The 22,684-nt window shown below is 58.2% G+C and overlaps 1 protein-coding gene across 15 annotated transcripts in view, besides 10 other annotated features; it reads right to left on the bottom strand.

Moving 5' to 3' along the window:
• Window positions 1-22,684, bottom strand: part of KCNH2 (potassium voltage-gated channel subfamily H member 2) — a 33,361-nt gene that overhangs the window by 3,248 nt on the left and 7,429 nt on the right. For 6 of the 15 annotated variants that reach the window (NR_176254.1, NM_000238.4, XM_047420348.1 and 3 more), the window contains 9 exons: window positions 11,364-11,528; window positions 9,851-10,294; window positions 9,083-9,294; window positions 4,217-4,645; window positions 3,240-3,627; window positions 2,713-2,912; window positions 1,960-2,212; window positions 648-841; window positions 236-335 (listed from right to left, as the gene is read on the bottom strand). Coding sequence is in view for 13 of the 15 variants with exons in the window: in NM_000238.4 (NP_000229.1) it covers window positions 236-335; window positions 648-841; window positions 1,960-2,212; window positions 2,713-2,912; window positions 3,240-3,627; window positions 4,217-4,645; window positions 9,083-9,294; window positions 9,851-10,294; window positions 11,364-11,528 (2,385 nt within the window). In the remaining 2 variants the exon portion in view is untranslated. Of the gene's footprint in view, window positions 1-235; window positions 336-647; window positions 842-1,200; window positions 2,213-2,712; window positions 2,913-3,239; window positions 3,628-4,216; window positions 4,646-7,187; window positions 7,597-9,082; window positions 9,295-9,850; window positions 10,295-11,363; window positions 11,849-13,781; window positions 14,571-22,684 lie in introns of those variants that run through there. The other 9 variants (NM_172056.3, NM_001406755.1, NM_001406757.1 and 6 more) reach the window with 6 other exon arrangements.
• Window positions 677-1,417: an enhancer, noted in NCBI's record as "H3K4me1 hESC enhancer chr7:150645973-150646713 (GRCh37/hg19 assembly coordinates)". NCBI's record gives its function as "activates a minimal SCP1, AML or CMV promoter by ChIP-STARR-seq in naive H9 embryonic stem cells {active_cell/tissue: H9 hESC(naive)}" and the evidence as "EXISTENCE:reporter gene assay evidence [ECO:0000049][PMID:30033119]".
• Window positions 6,132-6,730: an enhancer, noted in NCBI's record as "H3K4me1 hESC enhancer chr7:150651428-150652026 (GRCh37/hg19 assembly coordinates)". NCBI's record gives its function as "activates a minimal SCP1, AML or CMV promoter by ChIP-STARR-seq in primed H9 embryonic stem cells {active_cell/tissue: H9 hESC(primed)}" and the evidence as "EXISTENCE:reporter gene assay evidence [ECO:0000049][PMID:30033119]".
• Window positions 9,535-10,036: an enhancer, noted in NCBI's record as "H3K4me1 hESC enhancer chr7:150654831-150655332 (GRCh37/hg19 assembly coordinates)". NCBI's record gives its function as "activates a minimal SCP1, AML or CMV promoter by ChIP-STARR-seq in primed H9 embryonic stem cells {active_cell/tissue: H9 hESC(primed)}" and the evidence as "EXISTENCE:reporter gene assay evidence [ECO:0000049][PMID:30033119]".
• Window positions 13,695-14,304: an enhancer, noted in NCBI's record as "H3K4me1 hESC enhancer chr7:150658991-150659600 (GRCh37/hg19 assembly coordinates)". NCBI's record gives its function as "activates a minimal SCP1, AML or CMV promoter by ChIP-STARR-seq in naive and primed H9 embryonic stem cells {active_cell/tissue: H9 hESC(naive and primed)}" and the evidence as "EXISTENCE:reporter gene assay evidence [ECO:0000049][PMID:30033119]".
• Window positions 14,305-14,914: an enhancer, noted in NCBI's record as "H3K4me1 hESC enhancer chr7:150659601-150660210 (GRCh37/hg19 assembly coordinates)". NCBI's record gives its function as "activates a minimal SCP1, AML or CMV promoter by ChIP-STARR-seq in naive and primed H9 embryonic stem cells {active_cell/tissue: H9 hESC(naive and primed)}" and the evidence as "EXISTENCE:reporter gene assay evidence [ECO:0000049][PMID:30033119]".
• Window positions 14,305-18,136: a biological region, named in NCBI's record as "VISTA enhancer hs2192".
• Window positions 14,690-18,136: an enhancer, noted in NCBI's record as "VISTA enhancer hs2192". NCBI's record gives its function as "enhancer in: heart[5/5]" and the evidence as "EXISTENCE:transgenic organism evidence [ECO:0001131][PMID:17130149]".
• Window positions 14,915-15,524: an enhancer, noted in NCBI's record as "H3K27ac-H3K4me1 hESC enhancer chr7:150660211-150660820 (GRCh37/hg19 assembly coordinates)". NCBI's record gives its function as "activates a minimal SCP1, AML or CMV promoter by ChIP-STARR-seq in naive H9 embryonic stem cells {active_cell/tissue: H9 hESC(naive)}" and the evidence as "EXISTENCE:reporter gene assay evidence [ECO:0000049][PMID:30033119]".
• Window positions 15,909-16,080: a silencer, noted in NCBI's record as "fragment chr7:150661205-150661376 (GRCh37/hg19 assembly coordinates)". NCBI's record gives its function as "represses an EF-1alpha promoter that drives an FKBP-Casp9 reporter gene in an ReSE screen in K562 erythroleukemia cells {active_cell/tissue: K562}" and the evidence as "EXISTENCE:reporter gene assay evidence [ECO:0000049][PMID:32094911]".
• Window positions 16,137-16,746: an enhancer, noted in NCBI's record as "H3K27ac-H3K4me1 hESC enhancer chr7:150661433-150662042 (GRCh37/hg19 assembly coordinates)". NCBI's record gives its function as "activates a minimal SCP1, AML or CMV promoter by ChIP-STARR-seq in primed H9 embryonic stem cells {active_cell/tissue: H9 hESC(primed)}" and the evidence as "EXISTENCE:reporter gene assay evidence [ECO:0000049][PMID:30033119]".

The raw sequence follows: 22,684 nt of genomic DNA on the forward strand, positions 1-22,684 counted from the left end.
CCAAAAAGCCTAGGCTTGCCCTGGAGGGTGGAAGAGGGCTTCCTGGAGGAGGTGACAGCTGCAGGGGCCCTGAAAGATGGGCAGCATCTGGACAGCTGGGGTGTGGAGTGGGCACACTGGAGGAAGGGATGGGAAGGTCTGAGGCCTGGGTAAAGCAGACACGGCCCACCCCGCCTTCCAGCTCCCAGCCTCACCTTGTCCCCGCCCTCCCCCTTCCTCCCCTCCCCCGCCTCACCCTTGTCCGTGCGCCTGCGGAAGGACAACTTGCGCTTGCGTTGCCGACTGAAGCCACCCTCTAACTCCGTACTGCCGGGGGAGCCCGGGATCATGTTGGTCTGGAACCAAAATCAGTATCAGGGCCCTTTCAGTGCTCTCCTGCCCCACCGGGGTCAGGCCCCAAGCTCCCTCCTTAACACAGAAAAAGTAGGGCTGGGCGCCCCAGCTCTGGGAAAACCCTTCCCTGCCCCCAATGTGATTTTGCCCCAGGCAAAGACTGAGTTTGGGACTTTTGTAGGCTGCTCTATGATACCATTTGACAGACAGGGAAACTGAGACAGAGAAGCATCACATTCAATGTCACACAGCAAAGGGGCAGCCACACAGCTGGAAGCAGGAGGATGGGGTCCAGCTCAGGGCAGCCAACTCACATCTCGCAGGTTGAAGGTGATCTCCAGGCTGGACCAGAAGTGGTCGGAGAACTCAGGGTACATGTCCAGCACCTCCAGCAGGTCGTCCCGATGGATCTTGTGTAGGTCACAGTAGGTGAGGGCCCGCACATCCCCGTTCGACTTGCCAGGCCTTGCATACAGGTTCAGAGGCTCCCCAAAGATGTCATTCTTCCCTGGAGGCCATGGAGAGGACAGGGAGCTCAGCCCCGGGGGGCGGCATCCAGGCAGCAGGCACCTTCTCCCGGCATCCCCACCCCGGGCAGAGCATGTCCCCTCAGCTGGGTCGCCTGCCAGCCGGCCCCCAACCCACACAACCGGGGAAGCAATCTGCCAGCCCACCCTCCCTCAGCTCCCAGCAGGCACGACAGTGCCAGAGGGGCCAGGAGCCCAGGGTCTCCCAGCAAATGAGACCCAGCCAGCAGGACTACCCCAAACCCCAGGTCCCAAACACCCTCTTAGCCAATCACTGCACCCTTATAAGCAATGTTCTTCAAACCAAAGATCAGAACACAGTAGTGAATCAAAACCAGCATTTTTTTTTTTTTTTTTTTTTTTTTACTGAAAGAACATACAGTAGTATAGCTTAGCACAGCACAGAACAGAAATGCTAGAATGAACCACATGCAGTAAGGCCCAGTGTTATGTAGTGAAACTTTGATTTTAGTTTTGTGGGGGTGTGTATTTGTGTTTGTACAGAGCTGAGAAACAAAGTCTAAAATGTCCTACCATCAACTATGGTCGAAAGAGCTTGCTATATCTGCCCTGAGGCACACAGGGCCGAGGGAAGGACAGGCAAAGGGGGAGGAAGTCCTCAGTGTCCAGACACACCAACCCACCCACTGTGCACAGGCAGGGTAGAAAGGAAGTGGGGGGAGGGGGCAGGACTCCCTTTGCTTTGGATGTGTCAAGGGGCCAGGCATGAGGCTGCAGGGAACCACATGGCCCTTAGTGAAACCAAATGCCGAGCTTCCAGGCTAGCATTTCTTCCTCTACTGCCCAGGCTAGAGGATCTAGATTTGATCCTACTTTAAGGAAGCAAAAAGTGTCTGTTTGTGGCGGATCCTGAAGGGAAGGAGAATGTGGGAACCCCAGAGTTCAGCAGCCTCACCCCACGTGGGGCTCCTCTCCATGGCCCCGCTTGGAGGGCCTGAGTTTAGGTGAATTAAAGGAGCCCAGTGACCCTGCAGGCAGTCCCAGGTCCACAGCCCCAGTGACTGCATATTCAGAAGGCTCGCACCTCTTGAGGCTGCAGAGGGCATTTCCAGTCCAGTGCCCGCCCCCCACCCCATACCCAGGATGGCCACGACGACGTCGCCCCGCAGGATCTCGATGGAGCCCCGGGAGATGAAGTACAGGGCGGTGAGCAGGTCCCCAGCATGCACCAGTGTGTCCCCTGGCGGTGCATGTGTGGTCTTGAACTTCATGGCCAGGGCCCGAAGGCAGCCCTTGGTGGCCCCTCGGAAGGGTTTGCAGTGCTGCAGCAGTGAGCGGTTCAGGTGCAGGCAGATGTCAGCCTGCAGGCACTCAGGGAAGCCCTTCAGCACCTGGGGGCAGGGTGGGGGCAGCTCAGCACACCCTCCCTTGGGACCCCCCAACCCACACTCTACTCCACCATCCCACCCCTCCATGTCAGAGAAATCTCAACCTCCAGGCCTGGGAGATCTCGGAAGCATCAGGGGGCCCAGTGTCTTGGGAAGGACCTGGGACCCCACTCCAGCTTCACCATGCCTGGCCGAGCACCCTTGGGCTCTAGACCTCCATGTTCTTATTTGTAAGGCATAGAGACCATTCCCGCCCTGGGCTGTCACAAGGATTTAACCCCATCGCCTATGTGACATATACCTCCCACCCCAAAAGGGGAGCTCTCCAGGGAAGGGGTTCCAAGGGCTTCCATTTCCTCATGGGCAAAAAGGGGCAACGTGCCTCCAGGGTCCTTACTACTGACTGTGACCGCCTGAGACTTGTTTGCTGTGCCAAGAGGTTCCCCTCTGCCACCCCACTCTTCCCAGCCTGCCACCCACTGGCCACGCTCTGGTGGCCTCACCGCGTTCATGTCGATGCCGTTGGTGTAGGACCAGGCGTGCTGGAAGTACTCCTCGAGGCGCTGGCGCAGGGGATTGGGGATCTGGTGGAAGCGGATGAACTCCCGCACCCGCAGCATCTGTGTGTGGTAGCGGGCTGTGCCCGAGTACAGCCGCTGGATGATGGCCGACACGTTGCCGAAGATGCTAGCATACATGAGGGCTGGGGGCGTGGGCACGTGGGGCCGTCAGCCTCTGCAGGGACCCCACCCACCCACAGGGACCCTGCTCAGGCCCCGCACCAGGTCAGTGTCTCAGTCTCAGCGTCGACATGCCCACGAGACGCCCTTGTACATCTGCGCTCCAGCACACCCCACCCTTCAGTAGTCCCCGCCCTGGTGACCCAGCCCCCAAACCATGTCACGATGGTGGCCCCTGGAGTCTCTAAGTTCCAGGGCCTCACTCTGGCCCGGCTAGCAGCCTCAGTTTCCTCCAACTTGGGTTCCTCCACCGTGGGCTCTCCCCGCCGCCCGCCCCTGGGCACACTCACAGCCAATGAGCATGACGCAGATGGAGAAGATCTTCTCTGAGTTGGTGTTGGGAGAGACGTTGCCGAAGCCCACACTGGTGAGGCTGCTGAAGGTGAAGTAGAGCGCCGTCACATACTTGTCCTTGATGGAGGGGCCGCCCAGGCCGCTGCTGTTGTAGGGTTTGCCTATCTGGTCGCCCAGGTTGTGCAGCCAGCCGATGCGTGAGTCCATGTGTGGCTGCTCCATGTTGCCGATGGCGTACCAGATGCAGGCTAGCCAGTGCGCGATGAGCGCAAAGGTGCACATGAGCAAGAACAGCACGGCCGCGCCGTACTCTGAGTAGCGATCCAGCTTCCGCGCCACGCGCACCAGCCGCAGCAGCCGCGCAGTCTTCAGCAGCCCGATCAGCTGGGGGACAGGGAAGGGGCACATTCCGTTGATGGGGCAAGGGGGGCAAGGGAGGAGGGGAGGTGCTGCGGCCCTCAGAGCGAGCATCAGAGGTCAGATCCCCAAAGACTTCCTAGACCCTCCTCCTAAGAGGTGAAGCCCACACTGGGCCCAGCACAGGTGTCTCATTAATCTTAGTGCTAGCTTTGGGACAGAGGCAGCCCCCATAGTGTGGATGAGGAAACAGGGGCACTGACAGGTGCAGTGATCACCCTAGGGTGCCTGCCCACTCCCACCAGCTTCTAGGGCACTTTGGTGACGCTACAAAATAATGGCCCCTTGGGATGGACGAATTAGAAAAAAAGGTGTCCTGTGTGGCCCTCTGCAACCTGCGAGGAGCTTGTGTGGAGAGAAGGAGCATAGGTTTGCTGGGGTACCCACCTTGCCTCTGCAGCTGCCTTGCCACCATGTCTCTCTCCCACTGTCTTTCTCTCTTTCTCTCTCTCTCTCTTTTTCTCTGTCCTCCTCGCCACCCCCTCCACCCCACTACCTCCCACCACATTCCTGGCCTCTCCTCTCCCTACACCACCTGCCTCCTTGCTGACCCCACCTCCTCAGAGCCAGAGCCGAAGATGAGCAGGTCGAAGGGGATGGCGGCCACCATGTCGATGAGGAACCAGCCCTTGAAGTAGTGGACGGCGATGCGGCCGGGGTGGCTGACCACCTCCTCGTTGGCATTGACGTAGGTGGTGCGGAAGTTGATGAGGATGTCCACAATGAACATGATGTCCACGATGAGGTCCACCACAGCCAGCGGCTGGCAGGCGTAGCCACACTCGGTAGCAGGCGGGCCTTCTTCCGTCTCCTTCAGCAGGAAGGCAGCCGAGTAGGGTGTGAAGACAGCCGTGTAGATGACCAGCAGCAGGATGAGCCAGTCCCACACGGCCTTGAAGGGGCTGTAATGCAGGATGGTCCAGCGGTGGATGCGCGGTGCCTGCAGCTTGTACTCAGGCAGCACGTCGGCGCCCAGGGACAGGACCTGCACCCGGGGAAGGCGGAGGTGTGGGTGAGGCAGGCCATGGGACCTCGGGGGCAGGAGCGATGACATCTCTGCCGGGGCCAAGCAGAATGAGGAGGAGGCCAAAAAAAGCTTCCATCAGAATGCCCACCCCTCAGCCAAGCGACCACAGCAAATGGCCACCCCCAGGTTTGGGCATCATGGTTCCCAAAATGCCACACAGCACAGGACTGGCTCCAAACAGTTCCAACATTTCCCGGCAGACGTGGATTCAGGCCACTCGGCAGGAACACCCAGTGCTGCTCCCCGCCGGCAATGCAGATGCAGACCTGCCACTGTGACTGCCCTGAGACGCTGGCCCACACACCCAACCACACACGCCATAGTCTCAGACCGGAAAGGGTTCCAAGGACAACAGCTCCCAACCTGGGCAGTGGCCCCAGGAGCCATAGCCCCAATCCACTGACTGGTAGTCACTGCAGTTCTTACCAGCCCCTCTTCATGCCACAGGCCCGAGGACACCAGGCAACCAGGATGGAGAAAGACCAAGACACTCCCACCCTCCACTCGCACACCTCGCTCCCTCAGCCCCCTCTCCACACAGGTCCGGGACAGCCCACAGTCCTCATCCTCCCACCCTCTTACAAAGGGACAAAGAAGACATAGCCCAGCTGGGAGGAGATGGCACCCAACTTATACAGAGGGACGTGCACACAGGGACTGCTCAGCAGTGACACACACAGCCCCTGTACCAGCTCACACTCACACTCTGCCTCCTCCACAGTCATCAGACAGAGGCAGGCTGGCCATCCGGACCCGGTGACAGCAGGCACGTCCCTCTTGCTCCCAAGGCAAACTAAGAAGAGCTCCGGCCAGCTTCTCCACACTGTCCCAGAAGCTTCTGGGTCTCCCTAGAATCCTCTCTCAGGCATGCAGCTCAACCCAAAAGCCCCCTCCCCAAGCTCTCCCTGCCATCCCTGGGCAGCCAGCTGAACCCAAGGCCTTGCCCAGCCCCCATGAATTCCAGAGGTGCTGGCCCTGCTCCCAGAAGCACTGACTCCCAGGCCCCCACACCCTCAGGCTTTTGGGTTGGGGAGGCCATAGTTGATGAGTCCCAAAGACTCCCCTTCATACTCAAGCTGGGCTTGCCCAAGACACCTTCACAGATGGCGCTGCTGGGAGAACATCTCCTTAGAGGAAATAACTAGAAGTCAAGACGGGTCATAGTCAAAGATTTGACCACCCTGGGGTGGACACAGGGCCTCCAGCGGTACCAGATGGGCTGCGGGAGCAGCTGAGGCCTAGGGCAGGGAGGGAACACATGGACAGGCTCACAGGCTCCATTTCTGCTCTGTCTGCTGTCTAAGTGCCCAGCTCCTTAAGGCAGAGAGCAAATGCCCATGGGTGGGTGGCCCTTCAGTGATCAAGTGGGGACTGAAAAAAAAAAAAGAAAACACTGGCCAGGCCCCTGCTGATAAGGGGGCAGAAGAAGGTAGCTGCCCCTGGACAGGGCTCTTCTCTGTGCCTGAGAGGTCAAGCCTCTGGGCGGAGGTGTCAGGACCACCCCTAACAGCAGTGACCCTACCCCTGAGTCTGCACACAGCATGAGCAACACTGCCCCAGGGTACAAACTCACACGTGCATGGGGCACACCTGACAGGGGCCAGTCCCAGCTCTGCAGCCACCAGCTCACCTATGGCCTTGGGCCAGGTCTGTCCCCCCAGCCTGTTGTCCTATAGAATACTGAAGCTGGCTTGCTTAAGCCAAACCCTGACTCCTCAGCTGTGGGTGGGAAGACCTACCTGTACCTGTCCCCCAGCTGGAAAGAGTGTATGAGCCAAGGCAGAATGTGCAGATGTGGGGTGGTGGGGGCAGGGATGGGATTCCCAGACTTAGCCCTGAGCCACCTCCCACTCCTCCTCCACTGTCGGCCCAAGCCTGCCCCAGGCTGACAGAAGAGCGGCTGGATGGCTCCCAGGAGGTCACAGAGTAGTGCATGGCCCAGCCACCACACCTCGGCTGCCCATGAAGAGATGAGCCAGGTGCCTCAGCCCAGCGCGCCCTCACCACCCACACAGTGGCTTCCGCACATTCCAGCCTCCTCGACCCCCCAAAACAGCACAAGCCTCCTTTGCCCACAGGGTCCAACCCCAGCACACAGAGCAAAGGAGCCCCGGCGCCTCCATGCCAGGCCCAGCTGTCGCCTGCCGGCTTCTCCTGGTCCTGCCCATGGGCTCCTTTGTCCCACTCCGCCTCCCCACCATCTCTCTGGGCACCCATCTCATTCCTGTCATCTCCCCACTTTGCATTTTGAGCTCCAGGACTGTGGGCCATGGCAGGCACAGGAGCGGGGAAGTCCCAGCAACGGAAACTCTGTAAGCCCAGCCTGGGAGGGAATGAGAACAGGAGCCAGGCGCGGGTGAGCAGGGCCAGGCCCCACGGCTCCCAAAGCTTCCTACTTCCCAGCAGCCCTCTCCCCAGCCTGGAGTCAGAGCCCTTGGGCCAGCCACCTGCCTCAGTGTGCCGGCCCCAGAAAGAAGAGGAAGGACCGGGTGTCACCTACCTCCTGGGCCACGAGGCTGGAGATGCGCACGGCCCGCCTCACCCGGCCTTTCTGGGCCCTGGGCCGCAGAGCCCCTGTCCTGCTCGCCTTCCCGGCTGGGGCCGCCATGGAGGACTTGGCTCCCTGCAGCCTGCCTGCCCTGGGGCCTGAGGGCCCGGCCACTGCCTCACCTGCACCCCAGCAGCAGTCCCAGCCCAGGCTGCACCCCCGAGGCTGGCCGACTGGCAACCAGAGCAGCCCCTGGCATGAAGCCAGGGTGGTTGTGGCTGGGCCCCAGGGCTGGGGTCACCCTGGCAGTAAGCGTGGGCAGCAGCCTGCCTGGCTCGAGCTGCCCATGGCCCCGTGGCGTGGGCCCTGCTGCCAGGGTGCCGTGCTCTGCCCGCCCGCCAGCCCAGCAGCGGCCGCACTCGGAACCTCAGCTCCTCCAGCCGGCCCCTCCTTCTACCAGGTCCCCACCCCCACCCCGCCACACTAGGCTCCCCCGCCCCGCCGGTGCCCAGCCAGCGGCCCCCTCCCCCGCAGCCCGCCCAGGCTCCTGCAGCGGCGCTCCCGCAGCCTGAGCCCCTCCCCCTCCGCCAGCAGCCGGGCCTGTCACCGCAGATTAATGGTCTCCCTGACACCCCCGCCCAGCCGGTCCAGTGCTGAGCCAGCCAGAGTCAGACAGAGACACCCAGAGATGGAGAGACTGCTAGTGACTGGCAGGAACACACACGCCTGCCGACACATACAGGCGCACATGCACAGACCCACCGCAACTCACGGGCACATGCAGCGGGCACAGGAGCAGGGCAGATGCCAGGGGCTCAGGTGGGAACCAAGAGAGAAGCAAGGGAGGAGGAAGAGAGGGGTAGGTGGCCAGATAAGGGCCTGGGGTGAGGGGGAATGCTCTGGAGTCAAGGCCAGTGGGCTGGAGACCTGGCAGGGACCCAGAAAGCCAGGCGGTGGGAGCAGGGCCAGGAGCCCGCCGAGGTAGCAGGGCAGCTCCCTTACATGAGCCAACCCAGGCAGCTGCTGTGGAAGGGGCAGGAGGGAACAGCTTGGGACAGGAGTCCTCCACATTATCCCAGGCTTCTCACTCACTGCAGAGATCTGCACTCCTGACCCACCCACCCCCAGCCCCCAAAGGCTAGGATAAGGTGTCGGGTGGATGAAGCCATGGAGGGGTCGCAGGTCCTCTTGCTGCCAGGAGGACCCCAAACCCAGGAGGGGACAGAAGACCAGGCTGGCTAATGCCCCCAAGGCTGAGGGGTCTTCTCTGGCCCAGGATTCAGGGACCTGACCCTTCCATATCTTTGTACCCACCACCTCCCTATGAGAAGAAAACTTGCTTCTCCCATGCTTTAGGGACATAGTTGGGCCCCTCGAGGCCATCCTGGCCATCCCCACAGGACTGAGGCCCACCCTCTGCCTGGCACATCACCTTGGCCTGGAAGAATTAGGACCCTCCTGTCCTTGACCTCTGTGACCCCTTCTCATTTGAAGCCTCCCAGTTGGCTTGGCCCCTAGTACTTCCTTCACACACCCTGCAGCCAGACCTTTCATGTCCCTCAGGCCGCCTTCCCCCCTTGCTACTGGCCCTGTCATGTCCCCAGCCTCAACTGCCCTGTCCTCACCCTGTGCCCCGAAGGCACGCACCCCATCCACCCGACCTCCGCTCTGCCATTCCCAGCCCTTTACCAGACCTCTCCAGTCCCCTCTCCAGGACTTCTCAGACTGTCCCCTCTCCCCCCATCGCAGCTCTGGAATAGATTGCCAACCCCAACCCTCAGGTCTGCCTCCCTCCAAGAGGCCCTCACTGGCTAGCCCCCTCCACCCGGCTCTGGATCACAGCCCACTCCCACCCCCTCTCCAAGCTCCTCCAAGGTGAGAGGAGAGCCCGGCCGCTGGGCGCCTACCTGGGTGACCTTCTCAGTGACATTGTGGGTTCGCTCCTTTATCTTAGGTGCTATGATCTCACGGTCACTGGTGGGCGAAGCCAAGAAGGGGTCGCCCTTGAGGTCCACAAAGTTGAGGGTGATTTGGGGAATCTTGCTAATGGTGCGGTAGCGCACGAGGTCGGAGTCCGAGGTGGAGTTGAGCAAGCCGCTGCGCAGTGGGTGCATGGCCCCTAGGTGGAGAGGCAGCGTGGTCAGGCCAGCAGCCCAGGGCCCCAGGCCAGGCAGGCCACCCATAGATCGAGAGTGGAGACCAGGCCCTGCACAGTCAGGAGTCCATGGGGTCAGCTCAAGAGACCAGGGGAGTCACAAGAAACAAGAGAGGTCAGACCCCTGTCCCACTCTAAGGAAGCAGCCAGGAGACAGCCCTGAGACCAGGAAGAGGAAGAGGAAACGGTCTGCTCCAGGACGCTGGCAGGCAGGGGGCCAGGTGGTGTTCGGAGGCTGGGCACGTCTCCTGCCCAGGGCATCCCTGCTCCAGGCCGTCCCGGGACAGCCAGCTCCAGGGGCCCACCAGGGCTCTGGGAGTGGAAGAATGTAATGGGATGAATGGACATTTAATAGCGCAACAAGCCACTTAATGGAATTAAATAAGTGCTTAATGGGATTTCCATCTCCCAGGCACCCAGGACGTAGTGAAAAGGTCAGAAGCCGAGGGCCCAGAATGCAGCAAGCCTGGCAGCAGAAGAAGCGTGGGCTGGGGCGGAACGGGTCCCGCGGCGCCCTCACCGGTGCTGGCGTGGCGCGGTGGCGGGGGCAGCACCCCGGCGCGCATGGCCTCGATGTCGTCGGCCGACGAGGCGCGGCGCACGCTGGCGCAGCTTTCTCGGGAGCGCGTCCGGGCCAGGCTGCAGCTGGAGCCCGAGGCGTCGGGGTTGAGGCTGTGCGCCCGGGGCGATGGGAGCTGGCCGGGCGCGCTGCGGGGCGGAGAGCCGGGACCCACCAGCGCACGCCGCTCCTCCGCGGGCCCGAGCCCTGCCACGTGGTTGTCCATGGCTGTCACTTCGTCCAGGGCCAGCGACTCGCTGCTGGGTGCCGCGGGCGTCAGGTCCACGTCCACCACCACGGCCCCCGGGGCGCCCGCGCCGCCCGCGCCGCCCGACCGCACCGACGACTCCCGGGCCGTCAGCGCCAGCAGCGCGGGCAGCTTCAGGCGGAAGGTCTTGGCGCGGCCTGCGGGAGAGGAGAGGCACGTGGTCGTGGGGATCGCGAGCAGCCCCGGAGCGGGCAAGGCCTGGGAAATGGACCCCCAGCCGCTGGGTAAGGGAAGGAGGGGAACGGGCAACCCCCCATCCCCACTTCCATTCACAATATTTTGACCTCGAGTCTCAAAAATCATTCTAGAATCCAGTCATCATAAACCGCCATATCTGAAGTGACACTTCAGGGCGGATTCCATAAATCATCCCTGTCTCTCACACCGGCCGCTGGGTGCCAGCGTCCCCATTTTAGACATGAGGAAGTGTGGACACAAAGGCGTCATGTCACTCTCTGGAGGTCACACAGCCAGTGCGTGGGGCCTGCGCCTAAGTGGGCGACACAATGCCAGGGGCCCTGCCGTCAGGGGTGGCATCCGATGAGCAGGTAGGGCCAGTTTTACTGACACTGTCATTTTAGAGTGTAAGAAACCAAGAGGTGAGCACTTTTGTCATGATGCTGAGGGAAAGATTAAAATTAAGCCAAAGAGGGCATCCTGACAGAGGAAGGGGCTCCGAGCCTTTGTTGTCAAGGGGATGGTCCAGCCCAGGTGGGCATTCCCTCAAAGCCTCTCCTCAGCTAGCCCAGACCCCCAGGAAACTTGGCCAGTCCATGAACAAGGAGCAGATGAAAGAAACTACACACAGCTGAGTCCATAGGACACAGCTTCCTACTGAGGGGAGGAGCTGCTCCCAGGTGGTCATGTTCCCCACCCTGGGCTGCTCAAGCCAGGCTGGAGAGAGGACCGCTCCCAGGGGATGCTGGGATGGGAAGCCCAACAGATGAAGCTAGGGAAACGGTGCTAGCCCACGCCAAGGACCTGTGATTCTGGGCCCTGTCATTCCACCCCTATGTGTCCATCCTGGGCCAGGGGAACCAAGCCACATCCTCAGGGTACAGGGTTCACTTCCCACCTCCAAAGGGGGGACCCCCCACCCAACCATTACATCCTCCCTTCCTGCAGAGCGTTGACCTTGGACAGCTCACAGCCCCAAAGAAATGAGACCACGAACCCCTGAGCCTGCCCTAAAGCAAGTACACTTACCTGGGGCCAGCCAGCTGGTGGGGGGGCCCCGGTGGTTGGTGTCATGAGCCGGGGACCCCACCATGTCCTTCTCCATCACCACCTCGAAATTGAGGATGAACATGATGACAGCCCCATCCTCGTTCTTCACGGGCACCACATCCACCAGACATAGGAAGCAGCTCCCTGCAGAGTGGGAGGACATAGCCCCCTTGGCACCCACTCAGTGGGCAGAGCAGAAAGCCACGCAGGATGGACCCTGGAACCCAAGTGGGCCCGTCCACTTCTGCCTCCCCGTATGGCCCTTCCTCTCCGGGATCTCCCGTCCTGATCCCCCACCCGGCCATGTGCCTGCCGCCCTTATGGCTCCCCTCAATCTGTCTACCCCAGCTTGTTGCTGCCAGGCTCCCCTACCCCTCTCTCTGCCTATATGATTTATCTAGCTCTTTCCCGGCTGCACTTTTTCTCACGCTGGCTATGATCCTTTCTTCTGCCATCTTTGATCTCATTTCCTCCCTATCTCATTTCCTCATATCCTCCCAGCACCTCTGCCTTTCCCTCAAGCGAGGCGCTGTAGCACAGTGCTTAAGCCCACAGACTTTAGGCCTACGATCTCTGGGTTCATAGCCCGGATCTGCTGCTTAATCACTTATGCTTTTTTCCTAAATTATTTAACATCCTTGTGCCTCATTTTTTCCATCTATAAAATGGGAAGAATAATAATTTTTTCTTTTTAAAATTTTTTAACTTTTTAATTGACACAATAATTGTACATATTTATGGGGTACACAGTGATGTTGTGATACACATAATGTATATAATTCTTTTCTCATGAGTTATAAAGATTAACCAAGTCAGCACATGCTGAGCGCTTAGGCAATGCCTGGCGTATGCCGCACACTACAGACGGTTAGCTGTTACTATCTGTCTCTCTGTTCTCTCTAGATTAGCACCAGCCGTTGTGTCAGCACACAAGATAAGGACAGACGTTGAGAGCAAGAATTTCAAAAACTTTACAGCAATTTGGCATCACCACAAAATCCACGCATGTGCTCTTGTATTTCACAGATGTACCAGCCTATAACATATTAGCATTAAAAAACACTGATCCTTCACCAAAGAGTCTAAGAAGCACTGCTTCTAGATCTTTCATCTTCACCTCGCCTCGCGTTCCCCTCGATCCTTGACTTTTTCTTTTCCAGTCTCTCTCTGTCCACCAAAGGCCCTGTACCAGATGAGGTCAGTCCCCTAAGCCAAGCACCCCTGGTCTCCCTCAGCTCCCTGTTGAGCACATGGGCCCCCTGCTGCCCCACCGCCCCCCGCCCCCCAACCCGTGCTGATTTCTGAAGGAGCCCCTTTTAGGCCAAGCACTCAGTTCCACCTAAGGCCCAGCTCAGAACCTCCTGCCCACAGGAAGTCCTTAATGAAACCAGAAGGCAGTTAACAGCCCGCTCCAGCTCCTCTATGGCCCCCCAGGGACCCACCAGGCAGGCTCCTCATCTCCCACTCTCCCTAGGGAGCCTCTTCCTTCCTCTCAGCTCCCCCTCTGCTCAGCTGTCTTCTCTGCCTCCCAGTGTCTCCCGTCCCCACGTTAGTGCCTAGCACCTAGAGTCATACGCCCTGGGGCCAGCACTGGCTGGTGGTGTCAGTGACAGGCCATGCTGACAGGGAGGCTGCAGGCATGGGGGAGAGGCAAGGGTGACAAACCATGCAGTCCCACTCCATCTTAGCAACCCAGCCTCACTTTTTTTTTTTTTTTTTTTCTGAGACAGGGTTTCACTCTGTCACCCAGGGTGGAGTGCAGCGGCATGATCTTGGCTCACTGCAACCTCTGCCTCCCAGGTCCAAGTGATTCTCCTGCCTCAGCCTCCCAAGTAGCTGGGACTACAGCTGCATGCTACCACACCCAGCTAACTTTTGTATATTTTGATAGAGACAGGGTTTTCACTGTGTTGGCCAGGCTGGTCTCAAACTCCTGGCCTCAAGTGATCTGCCTGCCTCGGCCTCCCAAAGTGCAAGGATTACAGGTGTGAGCCACCGCACCCAGCCTCTCCTCACCTTTCTACCTCCTAGAGCCTCCCTGGCTCACCCCTACTCCTGATCTCAAACCCACAGCAGGGGCGACAGTGGTGGTGCTGTGAGTCAAGGTAGAAGCCGGCAACAGACACCGGCAACCTGGAGGCGACGCCACCCCTGGGACTTGGAGCTGGTGCTTGAAGCCTGACAGTGAGGTCAAGGGGCTGCGTGCTGGGGAGGCAGGGAGCAGGCCAGGTGGGAAGGGCCTGATGCATGGCAGATGCTGGCCAGGCTCGGGGATTCTAACCCGCTGGGGATTCATCTAGGGGAACGAGGTCTTCTGAAACCAGCTTAAACAGGATGGCACTAGGTGAAGGGGCTGGCCAGGAACTCTCCGCCCCACCCCACAGCTCTTCCACTCACCACATCCCAGACCCTCACAGCCCCGCCCGAGGGCCCTGAGCTCTGGGGCTCTGTCTGGGTCTCCCTGCAGCAGCCACTCTTGTCCCCTGACCTCTGGCCTCTGACACACAGCAGTGGTGTTGGAAGCTGCAGGGGGCTGGGCCCAGCTGGAGACCATTTGGCACCCAGACAGCCTGCCTGGAGTTTATGCCCTAATATGGTGATGGCCGGCAGCGGCCTGAACAGGGATGCGCCTCACCAGGACTGAGGAGAGGCTGGAGACCAGGAAGCCTTAGCCCAAGAGACCCCAGCACCCACCCCAGGGACCACAGCCAGCCAGGCCCTCGAACCTAAGTCCTCCACCAGGGAGCTTGCCTCAGAGAAGTCTAGAGTCTGGAGCCAAGATGGACTCAAACTTCAGAATGGGCTGGAGACTGTCCCCAACACAGGGCCCCAGAAATTCCAACCTTGAGACCTCAGCAGCCCGTCCCCTCTTCAGCTCAAGCTGCTCAGCAAGACAGCCCAGAATGGCATTCTGAAGCCCACCCAGTCCAGGACCCCACATCTCAAAATCCCCTGCCAGGGTCGCAGAAACTCTAGGTATACGCCACCTCACAGCACAAGCCTGTAACTCACACTTACACACACACACGAGAGACAGAGAGAGAGAGAGAGAGAGAGAGAGGAGTGACTGCTGGCCCTCTTCCTTTGTCGAGATTCAAGAAATTTTTCCTTTCAAAATAACCCTGTCAAAGGCCTGGTTATTCAAAAAATGTGAACTGGAGCCCTGCCTGATGGCAGGGGCTGGGGCGGGGGAGATCTAGCGATCATCAAGGGGATGTGGAAGGAAGGAAAGTAGGGGCCCCAGATAGGCCTGGGCTCTCAGAGGCACTGCCTGCAACCACCCTGCCGCGTCGGCTGGGGCTTCGGTGAACTGCCACATCACCTGCTCCCAGCTCTTCAGCCAGGCCTCCCAGCCAGACTCCATCCCACCACTGGCTGGGTTATGGGGGGATGGGAGTCCCTTCACTTGCCCCAGTGCCACCTACTCCAGACCCCCAGGCCCTCGCTCTGCTCCCTTCTCCCACCGACTCGCCCTGGCTCCTGCCAGTGGCCCCAGCTCCCCAGGGCAGAGACGAAGGACCCAGCTGCTGCAGGCTGCAGTTCCGCTGAGAGCCACTCCGTGGCAGGCACAGCCCACACTCCCGAGGCAGCCAGCACTGGGCGCACTCAGGGGGCAGCCAGGACAGACAAGGAGGGCGGAGGGGGTGCAACAGGGGAGAGGGTTCCCAGTCTCAAAGGGAGGGGGCATGGGCTGTGGAGTCAGGTGGCCTCTGCACATTGCATTAGAATGACTTTGGGCCGGTCACTTACCGGCCCAGAGCCCCGGGGCGCTCATCTGCAACACAGGGTGATCCTGCCCACCCCCTAGGGCCGTAGGGGTGAAATGGCCTAAGATATGTGAAGCTCAGAGCCTGGCTTGAGGTCACCATAAGCTTGAGACAGAAGAGAGGCAGACAAGGGTGGAGGGAGCTTAGCAATGAGAGGCCCCAGGGCCAGCCTGGCTCATGTGGCTAATGCCAGAACACTCTGCCCTGGCCCCATTCCCACCCCAGCCCCAGCCCCGACCCCACTCCCACCCCAGCCTCAGCCCCAGCGCTGGCTGAAGACACCTTACTTTGGGTGAGAAGGTTCTCCCTGCCTGGCCCAGTTCTGCTTCCTGGGCCCTCTGAAAGGGGAGGCACCCATGGACGCAACCATCCCTGCACAGGCTCCATGGCTCCTTAGAACCCCCGTGCCTTTGGGCCCAATGGCCTGGGTGAGGCAGGCAGGCTGGCCACCTAGCAGGCCTCCAGAGGCCATGCAGCTCAGAGCAGAGCGGGAGAGCCAGGCCTGGACACATTCCCAGAGTGGCAGGTACAGCGCCATCCTGCTACCACAGAAGGTGTCCATCACTTCTCAGAACACAACGCCGGCTTGCTTTCATTTGGTGCCAATCCACACCCAGCAGTCTACCTGGGGTGGGGGGCACTGTTCCTGCCCAGCATCCCAACCCATCCGAGGTCAGGGGCTCCACCCAATTCCCCACCTCTGGGCACCGCTAGCCTAGGCCAGGCCCCAGGCAGGAGCCACATTTGGCTGTGGCAGGGGCAGGCCTTATCTCCCATGTCAGCACCAGGTGGGGAGGAAGAGGCTGCAGATGGCCCTGAGTGACCTTAGGCACCTTCTGGGGTCAGAGTCTCCGTGCGCTCCTCCGTAAATGAGGTGCTATCACAGCTTCTTCCCAGGCAGCTCCTCCCAGTCCTCTGCAAATCACTAAGCACATCCGTGCCTGCGAAGTGTTGAGCCACCGTGACCAACAAGACACGCCTGGCACCTGCCCCCAGTGAACCACCCATCCAACAGGACCCCAGTTTGATGCATGGGCAAGAGGGAAGGAGAGGGAACAAGCCAGACAGGTGGAGGAGCCCCAGGGAGCCGAGCCACTCTACCCCAGCCATGGTGGCTCCTGCGTTCCCTCTATTTTCTGTGGCTATGGGCAGGTCACCCACCTCCCTGGGCTTCAGGCTCCCTGCGGGTACTGTGGGGACAAGTGATTCCTGCACTGGGTGCCAGATGAGATGACAGATGGCTTTGTGGAAGCATCCAGAATTCTAACAAGGCGGGGTGCTGGGTCCCTGCAGGGAAGGTGACCTCAGGGAGGCAGCCATCCTCGCCCTAGTCGCCTCCCTGCCTCGCTCGGAGCAGGAGGAGCTGTGCCCAGGACAGGCCCAAAGTCACGCTGAGGGCAGGAGGCTGGGGCTCCAGTCGGCCTGTCCGCCCCCAGGCAGAGAGGCTGTCTCCGGAGCAGCAGCCCAGGGCTGTGCAGTGTCAGGTTATATTTAGCCTGGTGGCGGCGACAGGAAGATGCAGCAGGAGCCGCTCCTGGCAGGGGGCCACCGTGTCACTAACACAGCTCTCATGGGCAGCCAGGGGCCTAGGAAAGGCCAGGGACATTGCAGGCCCAGGGGACAGAGTTAGGGAGCCCAAGAGGCCAACCAGTGAATGAGAGAGAAGGAGGGAGAGAGACAGAGACAGGGAGAGAGTGTGTGTGTGCGCGCGTGTGTGTGTGTGTGCTGAATGAGAGAGAGACCAGTCCTAAGCTCCTGCCTCCAGGATCTGGGAAATGCAGCAGGTTGAGGGGCCCCAAGCTCAGACCCTGACCCCACAGAAGCAGCATCTCCAGACAGACTCCTCCACCACCCCTTCCAGCCTGAGACCCAGCCAGCAATCCATGGGATCATTTATAGGGTCTTGGGGGCCGCTGTAGTCATCTAGACCCACCCAAATCCACTGCATGTGGCATGCCTGAGCCATCTCTGCCCCGGACCACAGCAATGCCTCAGAAGATCTCTGTCCTCTAGCTTCTCTAAAGCTCTGGGGCCCGGCTCTGCCTCTCGGGTGGTGCACGAACTGGAAGTCCCACCCGCTGCCCTCCTGCTGAGAAGCCTGGGAAGGTGAAACAAGGGCACGCTGATGCCAGGAAGCAGCTCTCCACAGCTCCCTGCACAGGCGCGTGAGTCCCGGGCAGTTGCGCCCCAGCTTCAGCCCTTCCCTCCTGCTCCCCATGGCCCCCACCCCTCTTCCCTCCAACTCCTCCCCAGCCTTCTAGGACCCCCTCTAGAAAGGTTTCCTTGACTGCTCCGTCTGACCCACATGGACGCTGCTCTTGGAGAACTTGTCCAAACAATGCCCATCGTCTAGAAGGCCACTGTACACTGGCCGGGCTTCCCCGTCCATCCGAGTCAGAGCCCTGAGGCCAGGGCAGGACTGGCAGTTGCAGAAGAACTGAGGGTGGACTCAGGGGTGGTGATCTGCAGTCATAACAGGTGGGGACAGGCCATGTCCCCACCCTCTCAGCTCCCTTCCAGATCCAGGGGCACAGCCCACCCTTTCACAGCAGAATTTGCCCATTTCAAGCCCGTGGTGCCCTCCAGCCCAAGTCTGGACAGCAGATGGAGCAACCATGGGAATTAAGGTGCCTTTTGATGAAGCAAAATTCAACCTGGTCATCAGTTTTCATGGAACACAGAGGCTGAGCACCCAGGAACCCAAGGGAAGGCGGCAAAAGCAGGAACTGCACCAGGTGTGAGACTTCTGAGCCTCAGTCCCCTTCAGCCCCCCTTCACTGTGACCCCACACACAGCTTGCCACAGGGCAGTGAAGGTGCACACAGCTGCCACTGTCCACCAGGGGACACTCTGGGGTCTCCTCTAGTGAGTGGCCTGTAGGCTTCTAGGTCTGTGCTCTGTCTTGGCTCCTAGCATACCCCAGACAGCCTGGTAAGCTTTGATAAAGCCCTGTCCCAATTCCAGCTCTGCCATGAGTCACAGCTTAAACCAAGAGTTATAATTCCTCATTGATTTGCCCCCTCCCCCCCCCCCACACACACACACACACAGGACACTGTGAAGCACCAACAAACAAATACGAGTGCTAATGAAAAGCCCCCAGAAAGTCAGGTGGAACATTCGAGCATCAAAACATGTGACGGTGATCCAAACATAAACAGCGAAAACTGGCATTATTTGCAGATGACGGGGTCACTTGCCTAGAGACCCCCAAGAAATCAACAGATAAACAATTAGAACTAATTAGATCAGAGAGTTCAGCAAGGTTGCAAGATACAAGATCAGCCCGCAAAAATATAAAGCATTTTTCTACACAAGCAATTAGGAAACATAGTCAAAAACAATACGTCTTTTACAATAGCAACAAAAACTCTTAAGTGTCCAGGAATTGACCAAGAAGGCACAAGAACCCTGTTGGAGTCGGGGCAAAAGGGAACAAAACCTTAAACTAGCAAGAAATACAGAACTCATCTGGTAAATGGAGAGACAATCCAGGCTCTTGAGTGGGACAAATATAAAGATGTCAGTTCTCCCCAAATTAATCTATAGAACCAAACTAATTCCAATCAAGAATCTAGTGGGTGTTTTCTTTCCAAGAATTCAATAAACTTTCTCTAAAGTTTATGAAGAAAAAGGGAGGCCAGGCGCGGTGGCTCATGTCTGTAATCCAGCACTTTGGGAGGCCAAGGCGGGCGGATCACCTGAGGTCAGGAGTTCGAGACCATCCTGGCCAACATGGAGAAACCCCGTCTCTACTAAAAATACAAAAATTAGCCGGATGTGGTGGTGCACACCTGTAATCCCAGCTACTCGGGAGGCTGAGACAGGAGAATCGCTTGAACCCAAGAGGCAGAGGCTGCAGTGAGCCGAGATCATGCCACTGCACTCCAGCCTGGGCAACAGAGTAAGACTCCATCTGAAAAAATTAATTAATTAATAAATAAAGTTTATGAAGAACAAGGGAGATCCACAAATAGCTATGTCAGCCTTTAAAAAACAGAATGAAGAGAGAGGATTTGCCTCAGCAGACGCTAAGACATACGGAAGGCTATAGGTTTTTGTTAAGCTATATCAATGCAAGAGCCAGTAAATAAATATTTGGAACAGAACAGAGAGCACAGGGACAGACTCATGGCTATGTGGGAGATTAACCTGATAAAGGCTGCCCCACAATTCAGCGGAAAAGAACAGACTGTTTACAAGATGCGTTGGGAAAGTTGGCACATTACATGGAAAAAATAAAACTCGATCCCTACTTGACACCACATACGGGGTAGTCTCAGGATAGATTATAGACCTAACTGAGAACAGCAAAACAATTAAGAGAACAGAAGAAAATGGAGACCCTCTGCAGCCTGAGACACTTCAAAAGTACAAACAAAGCTAAAAATCAATGAATTTGTTTGCATCAAAATTAAGTATCTTTGTTGGATAAATTGAAGAGAGACTGAATGGGAGAAGATATTTGCAATATCTGTTTCCAGTTCAACAAGGAATTAAAATCTGGAATACACTGAATGTTTAACAGTATGCATTGGTATCTCTAGAGTACACAAGCAACTCCTGCAAATCAACAAGGACAAAAGACGGCGACGTCAAAATTAAAATGAGCAAAGGACATGAGCAGGCAATTCACGGGAAAGTAAGCCCAAGAGGCTACCAGGCCTAAGAGATGCTCAGACTCAACAGAAATCAAAGGAATGCAAATTAAAGCAACAAGAAATCACTGTCACCTATTAGATTGGCAAAATTTAGAAAGGTAGATAATGTCGAGAGTGGCCAAGATATGCGGGTATGGGAATCTCGAGCTCTGAGAAGGAGGGTGATGACAGGCATGGCAGTACTTAGTTAAGTGTCCACATGTCCCGCGATCCAGCAATTCCACTCCCGGGCGTGTATCCCACAGACATCCTCACCCAAGTCCAGAAGGGACCATGTCCAAGGATATTCACTACAGCCTCATTTACAGTGGCTGGGAGTTGGAGACATTGTGGGGTCCCTCCCCGGGAGAGTGGGTGGGTGAAGCGTGGCGGCCGCATGCCACTGAATACGCACCTACAGACTAGATGTCGAACAGCAACCCAGCTGGACTTAAAGCACATTCCCAAGTAAGAAAAGCGAACACCAAAATACAACATATAGCACAATATCATTTACATAAATTAAATCTATATGCATATATCCAGACAAAATACACATTTGCAAGAACATATGCAAGCAACACATTCACAGTAAGTACATTTGAACGGTTGCCTATGGGGAGGGTAATGAGACTGGAGAGTGAGATAAAAGGGAAAAGGAAAAAAATGAAAGAGAAAGGAAAAAGCAATAACACAAATGCTGTGGTTTCAATTATTTGGGGGAGAGGCAGGACCCGGGGCCAGCAGCAGCCTGCAGGGAGGGAAGGGGAGAGGCAGGCAGCATGCAGGATGGGGCGGGGTGCACCATAGGAGCAGGGGTGCTGAGGCCCCGGATCAGGCTCATTTCCCACGATTGCAACAGCACGGGCTAGGAGCTGCAGCCACTTAGGTGACGCCCTGCTTCATGGCGAGGAGAATGAGCTCTGGCACCGCACGCTGCTTTGTGGGTGTCTGTCATCTCATTCCAGGAACACCCTCACACCCCAAAGTGCATCAGGGACAGGCGCTATGATCCCACTTAGCAAACGAGGAATGGAGGTTTGCAGACCCCAGCTAAAATCCAAGTTTCCTGAGGCCCTGAGCCCATCATGCCCCAGAAGGGCTCTCTGGGGGCAAGAGAGCTGGTGCAGTGGCATTCCACGCTGGGCAGGGAGGGGACAGCTAGGCTCGGGTTCCCACTCAGGCCACCCGCCAGCTGGGTAAACTTGGGCAAGTGCCTCAGCCTTTCTAAGCAAGAGCTTCCCTCCCATAAAGTGACGGAGAGGAATCCTGCCTTTCACAGGGCCATGAGGACCACCTGCGGTAAAGCATGGTTCCCCAGTTTGCAAACTACAAAGTGCAGTCACAACAATAGAAGTGCCTTGTGCTGCTGGTCAGGTGGCATCACCCCCACCTCAGCTGTGCTCTCTGTGGCAGCTCTAAGACTCTGTCCCCCCACCCCATCCTCCTCGGTCCACCTCTGAGGGTGAAGCTGGGAGCCCCCAGATGCTCCTGTGCCCCACAATGTCCACGCAAAGCAAGGCTAGAGGACTCCCAGACACAGCAAGTCTGTAACCAAGCTGGAAACTCCTGCCAAGTCACCTGACTCCCAGGGAAGGCTCCTGCAACGCAGCACACTGCCCACCCCATTCATTCATTCATTCAGCAAACAGTGCCGAGCTCTCGCTGTGCACTGAGCACGCAGATACAACAGAGAACAAAGCAGATGGGCTGCTCTCCACCCACCTGGAGCTCAAGGCCTGGTGGCGGGGAGAGGGACAGGGAACCTCCTCCAGTACTGCAGGAGGCGGAGGACCAAGGCTGCCTGGCTCCCAAGGTGTTTCTCATCCTGGATAAGCACCCAAAAAGGAGAGGGGTTTATCTGAGGCCAACCACAGGCCACAGCATAGAGATCTTTATGGGCAAGACTAAGGACATGGAGGGGACTTTAGGGGAGCACCCCACATTCATCACCTGTCCCAGCACCCCTCCCTCTTCTACTGACCCTGACTCCCATGGCCCTCCTGCCCACGTCGGGAGGGAAGTTCTGTTAAACTCCCTCACACTAAAGGGCTAAATACTTTCTGTCTCTATACTGGGAGGGGGCAATGAGAGAGAACGTGTTTTTAAGGAAAAAGGAGCACTCTAAACGCAGAAGTTCTCTAAGGGAGGAGTTTCAGGAACGCTTCAGGGAAATACCAACATGTGAAGGGCTTTCTTGGAACCTCCAAAATCACCCCACCCAGGAAGCCACCTCTGGGGAGAAAAGAGGCCCAGTCTCCCCCCTCACACACCCCCAAGCTGGCCCTTCTGCTGCCCCATGGCCCCCCTCCCCAGAGCCCAAGGCCACCATCAAACTCTGCTCCCATCTCAGACAGCTCTTCGCAAATATTTACATAGCTCCTCTCCGGGGGCTGCAGAAGACGCAACACGGAGAAGCCGCTCTCCCGACGCTCTCCAGACCCCAGGGTGGGTCAAGGAGTAGATAGCACCCTTCAGTTGCGTCATGCCTGCCTCACCCCTGGAGCAGGACTGGGATAGGAAGACTGCAGCCCCGGCAGACCAGGACAGACAGCCGCAGCTCAGGAATGACCCCCGTGGAGCCCCTCCAACAGGCCTCTGATCCAGCTAGAGAAGGGAAAGGTGGAGGGAAGGTGCTGCAGGGCAAGAGGCAACTGGCTCGGAAGCAGGGCCCCCATGGACCCCCGCCCGCACCTGGCAGCCCTGCAGATTCTCCCACTCAGCCCTGTCTCCAGGCTGCACCAGGCCTTGACCAGAAGGATAGGAACACCGCTGTCCCCATGATGAAGGGCGCTCCCCTGATAGCTTCAGTGCCACAGGAAAAGTTCTCCTGTGTCTAAGCCCCATCCTCTGGGATCGCTCTGGTCTGCCTCCTATCTCAAGACAAGAAAAC

This window comes from Homo sapiens, chromosome 7 (genome assembly GCF_000001405.40).
Source record: "Homo sapiens chromosome 7, GRCh38.p14 Primary Assembly".
Lineage (NCBI taxonomy): Eukaryota > Metazoa > Chordata > Mammalia > Primates > Hominidae > Homo > Homo sapiens.